Genomic DNA, 18,017 nt, shown 5'->3' with positions numbered 1-18,017 from the left:
GTGAATTAAGATCATTCTACTCCTTCCTTCTTGTGATTATACTTTATATTTCTTATTCTTGCCTTATTGTGCTGGCTATAACCTCCAGTACAATGTTAAATTGAAGTGATGAGAGGAAACATTTTTGCTTTAAATGGAAATTCTTAATAATTCTCCACCAGGTCCTAGGTTAGCTCTAGATTTTTTTTGTAAATGCTTTCATCAAGTTGGGGAAGTCCTCTTCTATTCCTAGTTTGCTGAGAGTTTTTGCCATGAACAAGTGTTGAGTTTTATCAAATTCTTTTTCTGCATCTATCAATATAACATCATTTTTACTCTTTATTTTTAATGTGTTAAATTACATTGATTGACTTTTGAAGGCTGTACCAAACTTGCATTACCCTACTTGGTCATGATGTTTTATCTTTTTTAGATATTGCTTTTGCTCATAATTGTTAAATTTTTTAAATTAACATGAGGGATATTGGTCTATTTTTCTCTTTTGTGTATTTTCCTTGTTGAGTTTTGGTAGCACGGTTTTACTGGCCTCATAAAATGCATAAGAAAGCATTTCCTCTTCTTTTATTCTCTGAAAATATTTTAATATTTGTATTATTTCTTACTTCAGTGTTTGGTAATATTAACAAATGAAGTCACTTGGGTCTGGGCTTTCCTTTGTGGGAAGATTTCTAATTATGGATTTGACTTATTTAACAAATACAGGAACATTTACATTTTCAGTTTTTCTTGTGATAACTTTAGAAAGTTGTCTTTTTCAAGAAAATTGTCCATTGTTCTAAGTTGTCAAATATATTAACATAAAGTTGATTATAATATCCCTCTTATCCTCTTAATGTCATAGGATGTATATAGATGTCACTTCATTTGTGTTTCTCTGTTTTTTTCATCAGTCTTCCTGTGGGTTTATTAATTTTGTTAATATTTTCTAAAGAACCAGTTGACATTCTCTATTTGTTTGCCTATTTTCTATTCTGTTGAATTTTGCTCTTATCTTTATTATTTCCTTCCTTCTACTTTTTTGGTTTTGCAAAAACAGTACGTCGATTTCTTTTTAGGAAAGAATGAACAAATGAATGAGGAAAGGAAGGCAAGAGAGATGTTTAATCGTGTCAAATCTTTATACCTGTTAACAAAAAGGATGAAGGTAAAGTCATTAAAATTTGCAAATAGGAGGTTATTGGTGACTTTCAAGAGGCTTCACGGTATAAAGATTTGAGGTCAGACACATTGAGTTATGGTAATGGAATTTGCTATTCTTTTTGACCATCCAATATATGAAACCAATTTCCCTTATTTGAGAATTCTCACTGCCCCCAATTCCTAACACATACACAAATAAACACATTATGATTCTTGAAGAGAGACAAAACCTATCTCCGACTAGAGACATGGAAACTTCCAGAAACTCATTCTCCCAAGAAATCTTGCAGCTTGGGTACATGTTCATGACCCTCGTTCTGCCAATCAGACACACCGACCTCATATCAAGGGACCACAAGAACTCTCTGATGGTGGGGAGAGTTGCTGAAATATTAAGTCTTTGGGGGCAGTGAGGAGAATAGTGCTGGTGTGGGTATCCAGTGTCCATCTGGCGTGTCAGCAATAAAATTTACAATGTCCAGAGCTTCCAGAAGTGTCCTCACCCATCCACTTCTTGTTGAGGATCACACCTAGCAATACAGCCTTAATCTATTTCTCTAGACTGGCCTGGGATTCTGTGAACTAACAATATAATCAATTCATTCTCTGCCGAAATCAGCCAGCCTTAATCTCTGCTGCTTGTAACTAGGAGCCCTGACTGTTGAATCCAAGCTCCACACTCAGTGGGTGACTGTGACCAGGTCGTACAATGTTCTTCAACATTTTTTTCCTCAACTGTTAAATGAAAGCAATAGTACCCACCTCAGTACAGTTGTGATTATTAAATATGACAGCATATGCAAAGTACCTAATTGATGTGTGACTGGTGCTGAAGAAATTTAGTTCTAGGAAAATAAAAATATTATAAGCCCCTAAAACTTCAATTCAGCCTCATTTAAAACCATTGTTGAATCCATACGTCATGGATCACAATGGTTACTAAGAAACCTCTGGGTAGAGGTAAACAGTGTAGCTTGACCTTCAAGATTTCTACCAGGAAAGGCAGGCGTAAGATGCTAATCCAAGACGGTTGAGATAAGATTTTCTGTCTTTTTAGGAGTTAGAGACCTGAGTTTGTGTGTAAGATAAGAAGTAGGAACTAATAAAGAAAGAACAATTTGAACAGAAAAAGAATGTTGACAAAAGCACTTTAAAGATATCAAGGTTCTGGATTAGAATTGTCTTTGGTTGTAAAAATAAGAAAGTCAGTCAGAGAATTTAACATACCAGTTACCACCAGGCATAACAAATAAGTATTAGGCAGGTGCGGGAAAGTTCCTGTTTAAGTTAAATCTATACATACTCTGTATCTTGTCTTCATAAAATTGAATTGTTTATTGAAAAAGGCAAGAAGCTCTCCTGTGATTTTTTTTTTTTTTTTTTTTTTGCTCTTAACCACAAATGTTTTATAGTTATCTCCCATGGAATGTAAACCTTGACTACAAAGCTATGATCACTGCAAATCTTCCTCTACACGATTGTTGTAAAAATTATATTTGGACACTTTATGTTTATTATAAAAATAATTTTTGCTAGAATATGTTTGTTGTAGTAAATGGGGAATTTACTCTTCTACATTACAATGTATACACCAGTTGTTGAAGGTGACTGACTATGAACTTATGAATTATGTATTCTAACTCACTACTATCTATGGGACAGAACCTTCTGTCTTACTTTTCTCTTCAAAAACCTATTTTTAAAAATAAATTTGTGATCTAACAGATTTACTTCTCAACACATTATGAAGCTCATTTATTTGTTTTCTTGATCTTGCTCCCCTCAAGAGGGCAGTTTTAGCAGAGCAATGGGTATGACAGACTAAAAAGGATTAGGAAGAAAGTAGCAATGAGGACATGGAATCAGGTGATGTCGACTCCACTTCAAAATGCTAGGATTCAATGACAGGACCTGGAGAATGGATGCTAACTTAAGAGGGCAATGGGGTTAGAAAAACATTTTTAATGGAGAGGACTTCCTTTGTTTGTAAGAAACGGGGAATAAGAAAAGGGGAAAAAATCTTGGAAAAACTAAGAAAACATGGGATCAAAGGCACATAAGTGTGGGACTGGTGTTTGGAAAGAGGATGGAAGCTTCTTCCTCTAAGAAAAACAAGAGGAAGCAGATGATGAAAATTTTAGGGCATGAAAGTTTATATTCAGATACCTTTAATATTCCATTGAGACACAAAGGCAGAGATGCTAGTTTGAGGGCTAGAGGAAAATGAAACATGCTTGGAAACTCTTCAGAGGAGAAGGCTATGCAGAAGCATCAAGAGTTGAATAAAATAATTATTATTGAGCAACAGTAAGAATACAAATGAAATACCAGTGGATCCAATTAGCAGAATTCTTAGAACTTCTCTAGCTAAATCTGGGTGTAGAGAATCTCTAACAGCCATTGAAATATTAGGGACACTGGTATTTCTGTGAAGCTACAGAATTGTGGAAAGACCCAAGAATACAACAAAAACACAGATAATCAAAATCAGAGAGCCAGGGGACAGTGGGGACCACACATCTACCTCCAGACAAGGGGATGACCTGTTAGAAGTACTTGATGGTATGACAAGGTATCCCCTAAGAACTTGAAAAGGAGAGAAATCAGTGTCTCTAACATTTTACATTTTGAAATCATTATACAATAGATCAGAACTGAAACATGCTTTGCCACCTTCATGATCAGAGTGGCTCTCAGGTCTACCTGATGAGATGATGTGATCTGACTATGGATATGAATGTAACTAAGGAAAGTGTCAACCAGCCTAAGAAACAGAGCAAAAGAGAGCACTATCCAAGGAGAAGGGCACCTTTCCTATGGACTTTGAGATTTCTGGTCCCATTGGCAAGATCATCCCTGAAATGGAGTGAGGTATGATGGGCCACCTTTGCCTCCTGCTATTCAAGCATTCAATCAGCTGGTTTGGTGCTGACCTAGAGATGTGCTCATCATACCTTGGCTTCCTTGTATTGTAGGTCTTCCTATTGGGAGATAATATGGAAGACCTGCTGATATGAGTATTCCGGTCACCATGACAATTATTTTTCATTGTAAATATGTTAACTAGTGACCAGTTTTACATGTCAGTCATATGAACTTGCCTAACCTGAGTCCACCTCTGAAAGCCACATCTCTCGGGGGAACTGATTATGGGTATCTGAACCTGCAGGCTGAGAACACCATACATGAAATTCACCAAAGCAGGTCCCATGGGAGACATCAAGCTGGCCTTCTCCTGGTGAGCATCTACATCTACATAGCTTTTTCCATTTTGAAACAAAAAAATGGTATGTAGCAGATTGGAAGAGTCTGGTGTGTTTCACCTCACTTGCCATACGGATGTCCTTTGCATGCCCTCCAGATGGCCCAGGAAGGTAGAGTCTCTTATTGCAAGGGAAAATACCTGTGGTTGGTGGGGCAATTACAATGCCCGAATCAGGACAATATCATTGTGTACAGCCTTTGAGAAGCCAGTAGTCTGCAGTTTAATGTTCCTCTCACCTTTTTGTTTCTCTTTTTTAGTAAAATTCTAGCTGATAGCTCTGAGCATTTTTATCTCTGCAAGAGTCCAGTTGGCATTTCACAGGTAATACATAAAAGGGAAGCCATTTCCTCAAAATGCCTACACAAACTGTGTTCCTACAAGTACTTCCAACCACAAGCTATGAATTTATCTTCAGGATCAAGGAAGCTTTTCCTGCTTAAAAATAACAACAGTTTGTCAGGCAGGGGAATGTCTTGGAGGAAGGGGTTTAGATTTTAATCCTGAGTGCTGATATCAACGTGCATGACAGGTCTCTCTGAGTCCTTTGCCCTGCAAGAAGATAAACACAGAGTGTTCAGTGTTTTCCAAAAATTTGTATCCATCTGGACATCCTCTCAATTTTTTCCCCCTCCAACTTTCATGCTGGAGTTCTTATGTAAGTTGTGGAGTCAGATGTGGGAAGGAAGGGGGATGGAAGGACTATATTTTTTTAAACACAAAAACAATGCTTGATCTACCCAAGCTTTTCTCCAGCTATATAAGAAGAAAAGGGATAAATGAGTACATCAATGGAAATACTTGTGGGTGGAAAAAGACAGGGTTGGCCAGAGGGACCGATACAAGGAGTTGGGATTACACAGGTGTGTGTGAGGCAGATCAGGGTCTATAACACATGAAAAGCTGGAGGCTGAGAGACTCATTGCTCCCAGGAGAAAGTCAATAAAAATTAGATTCCAGGGAAACAAGAACGGAGGCTAGATCAAAAGACCTGACCACACCTGGGAAGAGACAGGTAGACCTCTGAGATATTGCAGGTCCCATTCCAGACCATTGCAAATATTGAGCAAATATTGAGATAAAGCAAGTCACACAAAATTTTTGATTTCCTAGTGCATATAAAAGTTATGTTTACCCTATACTTTAATCTATTAAGTATACAATAGCATTATGTCTAACAAAATTGATGTATGTAATAGTAGGCTGTCATGACAAAAAAGTGTACATACTTTGACTTATAATACTTTATTTTGTAAACATCCTAATAATCATCTGAGCTTTTGGCAAGTGGTGGAGGGTCTTGCCTCAGAGGCAAGGTTTTTTTGCCACTGAGGTGGAGGGTTTTTGCTGGTAGAGGGTCTTGCCTCAGCGTTCATGGCTGCTGACTGATCAGGGTGGTGGTTGCTGATGGCTGGGTGGCTCTGGCAATTTCTAAAAGAAAGACGAAAATGAAGTTTGCCACATCAATTGATTCTCCGTTTCACAAAAGATTTCTCCGTAGAATGCAATGCTGTTTGCCAGCATTTTACCCACAGTAAAACTTCTTTCAAAATTGGAGTCAGCCCTCTCAAACCCTGCCTCTGTTTTATCAACTGAATTGATGTAATATTCTAAATCCTTTGTTGTCATTTCAACCATGTTCACAGCATCTTTACCAGGAGTAGATTCCATCTCACAAAACTGTTTCTTTACTCATCCATAAGTGGCAACTCCTCATCCATTAAATTTTCATCATGGGATTGCAGCAATTCAGTCACATCTTCAGGCTCCACTTCTAGTTTTAGTTCTTATGTTATTTCCACCACATCTGCAGTGACTTCTGCCACTGGTCTTGAATCCCTCAAAGTCATCCATGAGGGTTGGAATCAACTTCTTCAAATTCCTATTAATGTTAATAATTTGACCTCCTCATCTAAATCACAAATGTTTTAATGGCATCTAGAAATGGTGAAACTTTTCCAGAGGATTTTCAATTTACTTTACCCAGATCCATCAGAGGAATCACTATCTATGACAACTATAGCCTTATGAAACATATTTCTTAAATAATAAGACTTGAAAGTCAAAATGACTCCTGGATCCATGGGCTACAGAATGAATGCTGTGTTAGCAGGCATGGAAACATGAATCTCTTTGTACATCTCCATCAGAGCTCATGGATTACTGGGTGCATTGTCAATGAGCAGTAAAAATTTTAAAGGAATCTTTTTTTTTCTGAGCAGTGAGTCTTAACAGTGGGCTTAAAATATTCAATAAAACCATGTTATTAACAGATGTGCTGTCATTCAGGCTTTGTTGTTCCATTTATAAAGCACAGGCAGTGTAGATGTTGCATACTTCTTAAGGGCCCTAGGATATTTGAATGATCATTGAGCACTGGCTTCGACTTTAATTCACCTGCTTCATTAGCCTCTAACAAGAGAGTCAGCCTGTCCTTTGAAGCTTTGAAGTCAGGCATTGACTTCTCTCTAGCTATGAAAGTCCTAGATGGCATCTCCTTCCAATGTAAGCCTCTTCCATCTACGTTGAAAATCTGTTGTTGAGTGATTGATGAATTGATAATTCATCAATTATCTTAGCTAGGTCTTCTGGATAACTTGCTGCAGCTTCTACATCAGAACCTGCTGTTTTATCATGTGCTTTTATCTTATGGAGATGACCTCTTTCTTTAAACGTCATGAACTAAACTTTGCTAGCTTCCAACTTTTCTTCTGCAGGTTCCTCCCCTCTCTCAGCCTTCAGATAACTGAAAAGAGTTGAGGGCTTGCTTTGGATTTGGCTTTGGCGTAAGGGAATATTGTGGCTGGTTTGATCCTTTACTTAGATTACTGAACTTTCTCCATAACAGCAATAAGTCTGTTTCAGTTTCTTACTTATATGTTCTGGAGTAGCACTTTTAACTTCCTTCAAGAAATTTTCCTTTGCATTCACCATTTGTCTAACTCTTTGGTGCAAGAGGCCTTCCTTTCAGTCCAGCTCAGTTTTTGATGTGCCTTTCTCATAAGCTTAATCATTTCTAGCTTTTGATTGAAAGAGAGAGTCATGCGACTTTTCCTTTCACTTGAACACTTAGCGGCCATTCTAGGGTTATTAAATGACCAAATTTCAATATTGTTGTGCCTCAGGGAATAGGGAGGCCCAAGGAGAGGGAGAAAGATGGGAAAACAGCTGATGGGTGGAGCAGTCAAAACACACATAACATGTTTCAATTAAGTGCACCATCTTATACAGGTGCAGTTCATGGCACTCCAAGACGATTACAATACTAACATTGAAGATCACTGATCACATATCGCTATAACAGATATGATAATAATGAAAAAGTTTGAAATGTTGTGAGAATTACCAAAATGTGACATGCACAAAGTGAGCACACGCTGTTGGAAAAATGGTGTCAATAGAGTTGTTTAACACAGGGTTGCCACAATTTGTCTGAAACACAGTATCTGCAATGTGCAATAAAATGAAGTGCAATAAACGAGGTATGCCTGTAGAAAATAGCGAGAAAGTCAGACAGAATGCCAGGGGCAGAAATGTCCCTGAGCTTAGCTTTGTAGAGATGGTACAACCAGTAAACGTGGGACCCAGGGCCAAGTCTGATATGGGCTCCTCTGTGTATAGAAAGTCTGTCTTTCATAATTCATTGGATCTGTATGATTCAAGATATTTGATTCATAACAAAAAATTTTGAGATAAAAAACATTACAAAATATGGCAATTTAATGGATCAAAACAATATGAAGGAAATTTTAAATTTAGAAAGGTTTCTGTTGACATTGGGGTTCAGACTCAGAGACAAGGGCAGGGCAGAGTATTAAAGCTGAGTTTGTGGTTTCTCCTGTCACTCTGCTGCTTTTGACTCTTTAGAAAGACTTTGTGATCCTCCTGGCTCCTCGCATGAAAGCTTGTGCTCTGGCCTCAGTGGTGCTGTCCAGCCAAGAGGCTGAGGATCCTTGCCAGGGACTGTGCCAGCCCACCCCTGGTTTGGATCCAGACTCTACTCCAGTATTTACTAACGCTAAGCCTTGTCAATGCCCACATTCACACTCACTTGGGCTTCTAAAGCCCAGGGTTCTCTTAATCTTAACAGTGCTCAATGCTTCTGAGTACAGCATCATGATTACAAACTAGGCTCCTAGGGTTGGACTAGGTTCCTGCACTGTGTCACTCAGAATAATCAACACATAGTAGCTTAAATAGTGAAGAAGTCAGAAGGCAAGGCAGTTCTAGGATTGTTCCCACAGCCGAATAATGTCAGGAAGCTAGGCTCTTTTTAGCTTTTCATTCTGCCATCCCTGATGTGTTAAATTGTTGTTTATAGGCTTGTTGCCTCATGGTCACAAGACAGCTGCTATTGCTCAAGTGTCCATTTTTAATGATAGCATCCAAAGCAGACAGGGAGGAAAGGGGAAGTCCTCTGTCTCATGGCTCTTTCTTTTCAGAAGGAAAATGTTTCTCAGAACCATGACCCTCTGGCCCATCACCCCCCAACCCTCCACCACATAAAGCTGACTTTCCTGTACATCTGCCAGAACTACATCACCCTAATTGCAAAGAAAGATGGAAAAGTGAACGTATGTCATTTAAACCTCCATCATGGGAAGCCTACTTGGCCTCAAAGAAAAGAGAAGAAATGACTGTGGGTAGGCAACTTTCTCTGTTATCTATTGCCACTGTAATGGAGCAGAATATCACCCCAAAACTCAGTGGCCAAAAAACCAATTGATCATTTTTCATTAATCTGTGAATTGGCTGGACAGTTCTACTGATCTGGGCCAGGTTCAGCCAGTTGTGGCTGGGCTTGCTTATACGTCTGCAGTCAGTTGGTTGGTGGGTTGGCTGGGGGCTGGCTGGTCTCGAATGGCCTCAGCTGGGATGGCTCACCTTGGCTCCATGTGACCTATCATCCTCCAGCAGAGCAGCCCAGGCTTGTTCCCATGAAGGAGGCAGGGGCTGGAAAGCAGAAGACATCACGGTCTCCTGAAGCCTAGACAGCACACACAGTCACTTCCACCACATCTATTAGCCATAGAAAGTCACAAGGCCAGCCCTGACACAAAGGGAGGGGAAATAGACTCCTCCCCTCTATAGAAGGAGTGACAGAGTCACATTGCAGGGGGTGTGGATCCAGCTGAGAAAGAACTGAGGCCATTTTCACAATCTATCACACCAACCAATAGAACTTGCTGTAGGCTCTTAAATATATGACCATGAACAAGTTACTTAACCTCTGAGCCTCAATTTCTCCATCTGAAAAAAATGGAGATAATAATAAAATCTAACTTATAGGGTTGTTAGGATTATCTATGTATTGATCTATGTCAAAGAGTTTACCAGAATGTCTTCATTTGATAAGTTACCATGTATTAATCAATGTTAGCTTTCATGATTATCGACCAATGACCAAATACAGCAGCAATAGTCCTAAATATCTTAAGGGCCAGGGGCAGTGGCTCACACCTGTAATCCCAGCACTTTGGGAGGCTAAGGCGGGCAGATCACCTGAGATCAGGAGTTTGAGACCAGCCTGGCCAACATGACAAAACCCCATCTCTACTAAAAAAAAATACAAAAATTAGCTGGGCATGGTGGTGTGTGCCTGTAATCTCAGCTACTGGGGAAGCTGAGGCAGGAGAATCACTTGATCCTGGGAGGCAGAGGTTGCAGTAAGCCAAGATCGTGCCACTGCACTCCAGCCTGGTCAATAGAGTGAGACTCTGTATAAAAAAAAAAAAAACTTACGGACCGAGTCATAACTAAGGAATGTTGATGGTTAGGACAGAGTGTGATCTTACCCTCACATTTTCTTAAATTCACTTTGCAATTCACAATACTGCTCACAGATTGGTCTTAATGAAAATGTTATCTTGTGTTCTAATTGAACAAATTCTTCTTGTTAACTAGCATCTCAGTTGTTCCTATCTACTGAAAAACTCATGTGAAGGCTACTAATATTTAAGTCACACAGCCTTTCTAAAAGAAATTATTTCACATTTTTTATACCCTGTAAATTTATGGACTACCCACTCCCCAGGGGTAAGACCTGGTTAGGCTGGCCTAAGTGGCTACACTGCCTTCAGGGTGTGATGAAAGGAGAGAGAAGGACAGAGAAGGAAGAGAATATTCCCTGGGAGTCCAGCTTTGACTGCAGGGTCTCTTCTTCCCTAAAAGTCAGGGCAAAGGCCAGGAGCAGACAGCTGGGGTGGGCTTAGGCCAATGTAGCTCTCTACTTGGCTCTCTGTTTCACTAGGGCCAGATAAGCTAAGAAGCAAATGAATCCAGCACCCACGTCAATGTGAGACAAACTCACTGGACTTTGGCCCATAGTTAAAAGTACATTGCTAGGTTTGTAGTGTAGGAGCAACAGGCTATACCACATAGCCTAGGTATGTTGTAGGCTATACCATCTAGGGTTGTGTGAGTGCACTCTATGATGTTTGTGCAGTGACAAAATTACCTAATGAAACATTTCTCAAAACATATCCCTGTTGTCAAGTGATACCTGACAGTATATGTATGTATATCTAAAAAATTTTCAGTAACCGTTACAATAAAAGAAACACAATATAGTTTCTAAACCAGAAGCCAATTGTAGAACAGGTCGTGGTGTAGGCAGAATAGCTAACGCTCTATTAATCCAACAGAAGGCAAGGAAGGAGAAAAAAAAGGATTTTTAAAAGAAGCATGAAATGATAAAACACAAAACACGTGAAAATAAGTCCTGATTTAATAAAAAGCAAGTAGCAGAATCTTAAAAGAAAGTACATTGCTTGTGCAGTTTTACAAAACTCACTCACATACAAATGAATACACATATGCATATACATTAGTAAGTATATGCATAAATATGTACATACGTTAAACTGAAGCAAAAATTTCATGAAACAACACACTTTCTTTTTTTTAAATTTATTATTATTATACTTTAAGTTCTAGGGTACATGTGCACAACGTGCAGGTTTGTTACATATGTATACATGTGCCATGTTGGTGTGCTGCACCCATTAACTCATCATTTACATTAGGTATATCTCCTAATACTATCCCTCACCCCTCCCCCCACCCCACAACAGACCCCGGTGTGTGATGCTCCCCTTCCTGTGTCCATGTGTTCTCATTGTTCAATTCCCACCTATGAATGAGAACATGTGGTGTTTGGTTTTTTGTCCTTGCGATAGTTCGCTGAGAATGATGGTTTCCAGTTTCATCCATGTCCCTGCAAAGGACATGAACTCATCATTTTTTATGGCTGCATAGTATTCCATGGTGTATACGTGCCACATTTTCTTAATCCAGTCTATTATTGTTGGACATTTAGGTTGGTTCCAAGTCTTTGCTATTGTGAATAGTGCCGCTATAAACATACGTGTGCATGTGTCTTTATAGCAGCATGATTTATAATCCTTTGGATATATCCCCAGTAATGGGATGGCTGGGTCAAATGGTATTTCTAGTTCTAGATCCCTGAGGAATCGCCACACTGACTTCCACAATGGTTGAACTAGTTTACAGTCCCACCAACAGTGTGAAAGTGTTCCTATTTCTCCACATCCTCTCCAGCACCTGAAACAACACATTTTCTACATGCAATGCCCTCTGGTATTTCTTCTTCAATTGCGTTGTCTTTTTTACTTCTTATTTCAGATCCTTCATTTTTCATTGTATTGTATTTTCATTGTTTGAAATGCTGCTCATGACCAATTAAGTTGATTTAAAAATATTGTTTGAACAACTGTCTTGAGAAACACTGACTTACGTGGCATAATGTAAGAAGCACTGAGCAAAATCCCTTCTCTTTTCCAGAAGCTTTCCCTACTTTCAGATTTACAGAGGGGGCCATGTGAGAAGACTGTAGCTGAAGTAATCTTGAACAGTGGTGAAGAGCAAGGAATCTGTAGCAAAAAGGCCTGGATTCAAAATCTGGCTCAGCCACTCAGTAACTGTGTGACCCCAGCAGAGTCGTTTAACCCCTGGAGCCTTGGTTTCCTCCTGAAAAATGAGGATGAAAATACCCCTTCCCCACTGTCCTGCAAATGAAGCCAGTAGCACAAAGTAAGTTGGATAAATATCATCTATTACTCTTCCCTTGGGAGATGTCAGTCTTTCATCCCATGTGGAGCTATTTGGTACAATTTTTCTATTGGAGAGCTAGCTGGCAGGACGGTGCAGGATGAGACACACATAAGTAAGTCTTGGTGCAGAAGGGGTAGCACACCAGGGCAGCCCTAAGTGGAACCAATAGAAGAGGGACTCCAAGGTAGGAGTGGGGGCTGTGGGGTGGCGGAGAGGTTCCACCAGGCTGGAGAAAGCTCTGAAGTAAGAAGTGGGTGGAGGCTGGTGGTTCTTTCATAGATGTGACTAGGTCTTTGGTCCTATGGGTAAATGAAGAAGTTTTTTTTTTATAGATTTCCATGAAGTGGACATAGATGCCCCTCTTTCTACAAGTCACTCTATAGTACACGTAATTGAATAAATGCAATACAACCAGCTCCTGGGGCTGACATTTGTGCAAATAAGAAAAAACAACCTCTTTGGGCACAAGCAGCTCTGCCCAGGTCACATAGACTAATGAGCAAACTGGGGATAGACCTTAGCCCCATCTAGCAGATGCCCTTGTGTAGTGCACAACCTGCTCAACCATCCTCAGTGGCCCCACTGGATTTATATTAACTCATAGTTAACTCCTTTCATAAGACTTCTTCCAGGCATTTATTCACTATTCCCAATTGTAGCAAATGTTCAAATGTTCAACCTAAATTTGATGTTCAAAGTAGCCAAAATTATTTTGATCCCAGATGTTACCAAATGAAAGTGTACCACACAGATCTCCTGCTGCTAGAGCATAATTAACTGATGGCCACAGCTGCTGCCCACTGGGATCCACCACACTTCCACAGTGTGGCTTCCAACCAATGACTGAGCATGGAGAGGTCTGAAGACAGCCTCCTTCCAGCAAGACATAGGATGCAAGGGCTCCTTGGCTGAACATTTCTTGGAACAGTGTTGCAGTCTGAGAGTCATCCCATCCACCCTTCCTTCCTTCCCTCTCTCCTTCCACAGATGCCAGACCTGTGATACAGTCTCTTCTCGCCTTTCTTCCTTCCTGCTTTTCCTTGCACATCTAATCCCATCTTGGTGTCTGTCTCAGCAGATCTAGACAATAGCACCAGATCTGGTGAAAGAGGGGACTGGTCAATCTAATACATGTTCAAGGCAAAAGCTACAACTGGCTGTAAAATGAATAAGATGAATTTTCTTGTGTAACTGATAAGAAGAGTTCAGTGAATATTGGTTAACTATCAGATGAAATCAGGCACTTTCAACGTGGTATGGCCATAGACAAATATCGGGTAACTATCAAATGAGTGAAAATGGTCCTGAAATAAAATAATGCCATCTCCTACAGTGTGGCCGAAACGTCTACTCATTCAGAGGCATAGTCAGAGGCTTCAGGTACACCTCTAAGTGTCCCTGGGAGTCTGCAAAGAGATTCCTCACATGTGGCTCTCTTGTTTGCAATTCACCCTGGCTCCCACTTCTTCACACCTGCCTGGAAGGCCACTGAAGAAGTCTTATGGCTCCCACTGCCCATCCTGAGAACGCCAAAGCCCAACTGTGCCACAGGGGCCACTTGAAGATGCTCCTGATTTTTTAATTCCTCTTGAAGCTGAATGGGGGCCAAGCCATATGGCCAGGGGACATGATGGAGGAGGATGGTTTCCTCTCCAACTCCATGTGACAGTTTTCACTCCAACCTAATTGGAAGCATCTCTTGTGACTAGATAAGAAAGGTTTCATCTGATTCTGATACTCATCCTTTTTATGCACAAGGAACTTAAAATCAGCCCAGGGGACTGGTAAGGACAGGTGCCTTTTACCCCAGCTAAATGTCTCAGTTTCCAACCTTACTCAAACTCCCTTGGCCTTCTCTAGGTAATAAACCAAAAAAAAAAAAAAAAAATTTAAAGAAGCTGGCTGGGCATGGTGGCCCATGCCTGTAATCTCAGTACTTTGGGAGGCCAAGATGAGAGGATCACTTGAGCCTCAGAGTTCGAGTCCAGCCTGGGTAACATGGCAAAATCCCATCTCAATATTAAAAATTATATATTAAATTTCTATATATATATATAAGCTATAAATATGAAATAGCATATTAACTATATTTTAAATTTTTCTGTATTCTTTTCTTATTATTTATATTCTTGGTGCCCAGCATCTGGGGCCTTGCTAATCCTGGAGAGACTACTCCTCCCAGGGGTACCTAATTCCTGGAGAAAGCAGATGACTCCCCTGGGAGTGCATCTCTCACACACAAACCAACCAATCCAGAGCCCACACCTACCAACTGCCTCCTTTACTGAGCTCTGGCAGGTTAAGCCTATCCTCTGCCCTAATTACCCCAGGCCAGATACTGGGCAGCTAGTGGCAGGCCCTGTACCTCAGAGCACACAGAAATCATTCAAACTAGCAAATCCTAAACCCACCTAGTCTGCTTACCCTGCCTTGCCCATCCCTTCCAGAAAAAACACGGAAGAGGCTCTGACCCATGCTTTCCCCTGTTCCATCTGCCCCATGGGGCCCTGCGTGATATGGTGTGCCCTCTCCTCTTGGAACTGTAACAAACTATCTTTCCTTTTTTCTTTTTTTGAGACGGAGTCTCACTCTTGTTGCCCAGGCTGGAGTGCAATGGTGTGATCTCGGCTCACTGCAACCTCTGCCTCCTGGGTTCAAGCGATTCTCTTGCCTTAGCCTCCTGAGTAGCTGGAATTACAGGCACCCACCACCACGCCCAGCTAATTTTTGTACTTTTAGTAGAGATGGGTTTCACCATGTTAGCCAGGCTGGTCTCAAACTCCTGACCTCAGGTGATCTGCCCACCTCAGCCTCCCAAAGTGCCAGGATTACAGGTGTGAGCCACCGCACCTGGCCACGAATTATCTTTTCAATGGCATTTGTCTCCTGATCTGCTGGCCTCACCATACCTGAATAATAATAAAACCTACATTTTATAACAAGTGAATATTGGAGAGATTTCAATGTGGGGGTATCTGTGCTAGCAACAGCCAACGCAAAACTTTTTGTTGTATTTGAATTGTCCTGTTTTATTTACAAAGTATTTCATATACCCCTTCTCAATTGATTTAATTCTATCTGCAATTGTCTTCATTTTAGAGACAAATCAGAGATAACTGAGCAATAGCAACATTATTGGAAGAAATGTATGCTTTCTATCAGGCTGCACGTAAAGCACTACAGATAGAATACACAGTGCAGGATCTGTAGTGTTGGTTTCAAGGAAGTCTCAAAATACATACCAATAAAAACAGTAATCGCAGCCTCTAATACTTCCTGAGCCAGGCACCAACGTAGGTAATTTTCATACATTAATTCATTTAATCCTCATGTCAATGCTCAGGTTGATGCCCAAGGTAGTGGTCATTAGTTTCCCTGTTTCACAGACAATCTGAAATTAACGGGCTGAAAATTATCTGTTATACAATATTAGAGCTGCAAATAACTTTAAAGATCAACCCTCCCCCTTTTACAGATGAAGTAAATGTTTATGCGTTCTAGGCCACTTAAAGGTTTTGTTATTTTTGAGCACAATCCCCAAATTAGTCATATATAACCTGATTTTGCTAGTAGTGAGTTCCGATTCCTGTGACCTCCAGCCCAGCTATGTCGTATAAGGGAAGTGACACCTACTATAATAATCTCAAACCCCGTAATCCATCATACATACTTTGAAAGCACTAAAGGAAAATGTGTTACAATAACCAAACACACCTAGTGTATATCACAAGGCTTGCCTAAATATTTCCAATTTATGCTATTTTGAGAACTGGCGTCTAGCCCAGTTCCAACAACAGTGTCCAAGATTAAGTGAAAGACCATGTGAGTATGGTAATTGAAAATATAATTTTCCCCCCAAAGGGCTATTAGTTATGAATTTACTCACTCGTGTGTGTGAAATCTCCTTTTGAACAACTATGAAATGTGGATTCTACAGTTGTCTCACTTACTGGAAAAAAATGTGCATCTTATTAGGTTTCTAGAGGACAATGGTACGTCAAATCTAATCAGCCTTCCCTTGGAAGATTCTGCAGGAGCTAGGAGCCTCTCCTCAGACTGCCTCTCCCATAGCAACCGTCTTGCTCTTGGCAAAGGCATAGAGACTTTGTTGTGCTCAACCCTGTAACATTAATAAGCTAAGGGCCCTAGACAACAGCAGTTACCACAGAGCCATTTCAAAGCTGGCTTGAGGGGCACCAGGAGCTCAGTTCCTGGACACAATCCCACTGTGTTTTGGTATAACAGCCATTGGTGGCATAGCCTTATTTTTGGGTATAGCCTATCTTGGGACCAAACCCATTGGCCAATGACAACCAGATGCATTCATTTGGCTAAAACATTCTGAGCAGAATGGTACTCAAATTTCGATGATTTGAATGGATTCATCTTCCTTCCCACTCCTGCATGCTTCTGCATTGAGTCTAAAGCTTAAAGCAAAGGAGAATGCTTTGGATGTGACCTTTTCCCAAGATCTGACAGCTGGTCTAGATCTAGTCAATTGCAGCTTTTAATTAATATACTCTATACTCCCCACATAAATTAAGAAAAATAACAATGTACCAAAGAACTGGAAAGAAGGTTTCTGAGTTCTTTTAAATTGTGCCCAAAGGTTTCTAATACTAATTTCAAAGAAGGAAAGGATCTCGGTCTAAAGTTACTGAGTGTGTATGCCGAACAAATTCACTGGATAGTATTTGTGCTCCGAATTTTTCCAATTAAAATTATTTACCCTTAATGCTTCAAATAAAGTTATAACTTGGATTTCAATCCACAGCCATTCCATAACTCCATCAGCAGAAGCATAATATCATGTATTGTCATAATTCAATGCACTTTCACAGTTATGGAGTAACTGATTCAACTAGTTGTTCACTTCATTATTTTATCCATTTATGAGTTAAGCCAGGAACATAGCAACACCATGTCTATGTTCAGCCTCCTATGTCCTGCCCAAACTTTCACCTGTCTCCATACGGTTAGGGACTAAACAAAGGGGTAAACTTCAAGTAAACACAGACGATATTTATTAAGTTTCTTCCAAGCTGTATGTTCCTAGAGGTTATCACAAAGACTCCTCTAGTGGCAACTGGCTTGCAGAACTGATCCAGCAACATCTCAACAATTCTTTCCTGAAGCCCAACTGCATACTCAAAGCTCAGATCCACGCTCACTAGGAACAATTTTGGAAAACAAGGAGTTGATCACCATTTTCGCTTTGCTTTGCTTTGTTTTTGAAACTGTACAGACATGGCCAGAATTTGAACTTGCACTGCCTGGATCAGACCATGAATAACTAACTGCCTTAACTGGAAAGATTTGCCAGACCCCAAGAGCCTCATCCCCTGTCTGCTTCCACCCCAAGAAAGGCTGTGCTTCCTTCCAATGAACAGCCTAACACAATTTGGCAATGACTTTTCCTGCATTTTTTGGCAGAGAATATGGAAAGGAATATATATGGAAAATAATGTATGTGTGCATGTGTGTGTATGTGTGCGTGTGTGTATTGCATGTGTGTGTGCATGTGTGTATGTGTGTATGTCTG

The 18,017-nt window shown here is 40.3% G+C and overlaps 2 long non-coding RNA genes across 2 annotated transcripts in view; one reads left to right on the top strand and one right to left on the bottom strand.

The window, feature by feature from the left end:
• LINC02107 (long intergenic non-protein coding RNA 2107) overlaps nucleotides 1-18,017 on the bottom strand; it is a 158,236-nt gene that overhangs the window by 95,365 nt on the left and 44,854 nt on the right. The window lies entirely within an intron of this gene.
• Nucleotides 4,220-12,308, top strand: LOC105374730 (uncharacterized). The gene is made up of 3 exons (XR_925927.3): nucleotides 4,220-4,378; nucleotides 8,845-9,045; nucleotides 12,206-12,308. It is a non-coding gene; the product is annotated as an uncharacterized LOC105374730 (long non-coding RNA).

The sequence above is a fragment of the Homo sapiens genome, chromosome 5 (genome assembly GCF_000001405.40).
Source record: "Homo sapiens chromosome 5, GRCh38.p14 Primary Assembly".
Classification (NCBI taxonomy): domain Eukaryota; kingdom Metazoa; phylum Chordata; class Mammalia; order Primates; family Hominidae; genus Homo; species Homo sapiens.
The sequence above is the reverse complement of the archived record's forward strand: the minus strand, read 5'-3'. Positions and strand labels throughout refer to the sequence as shown.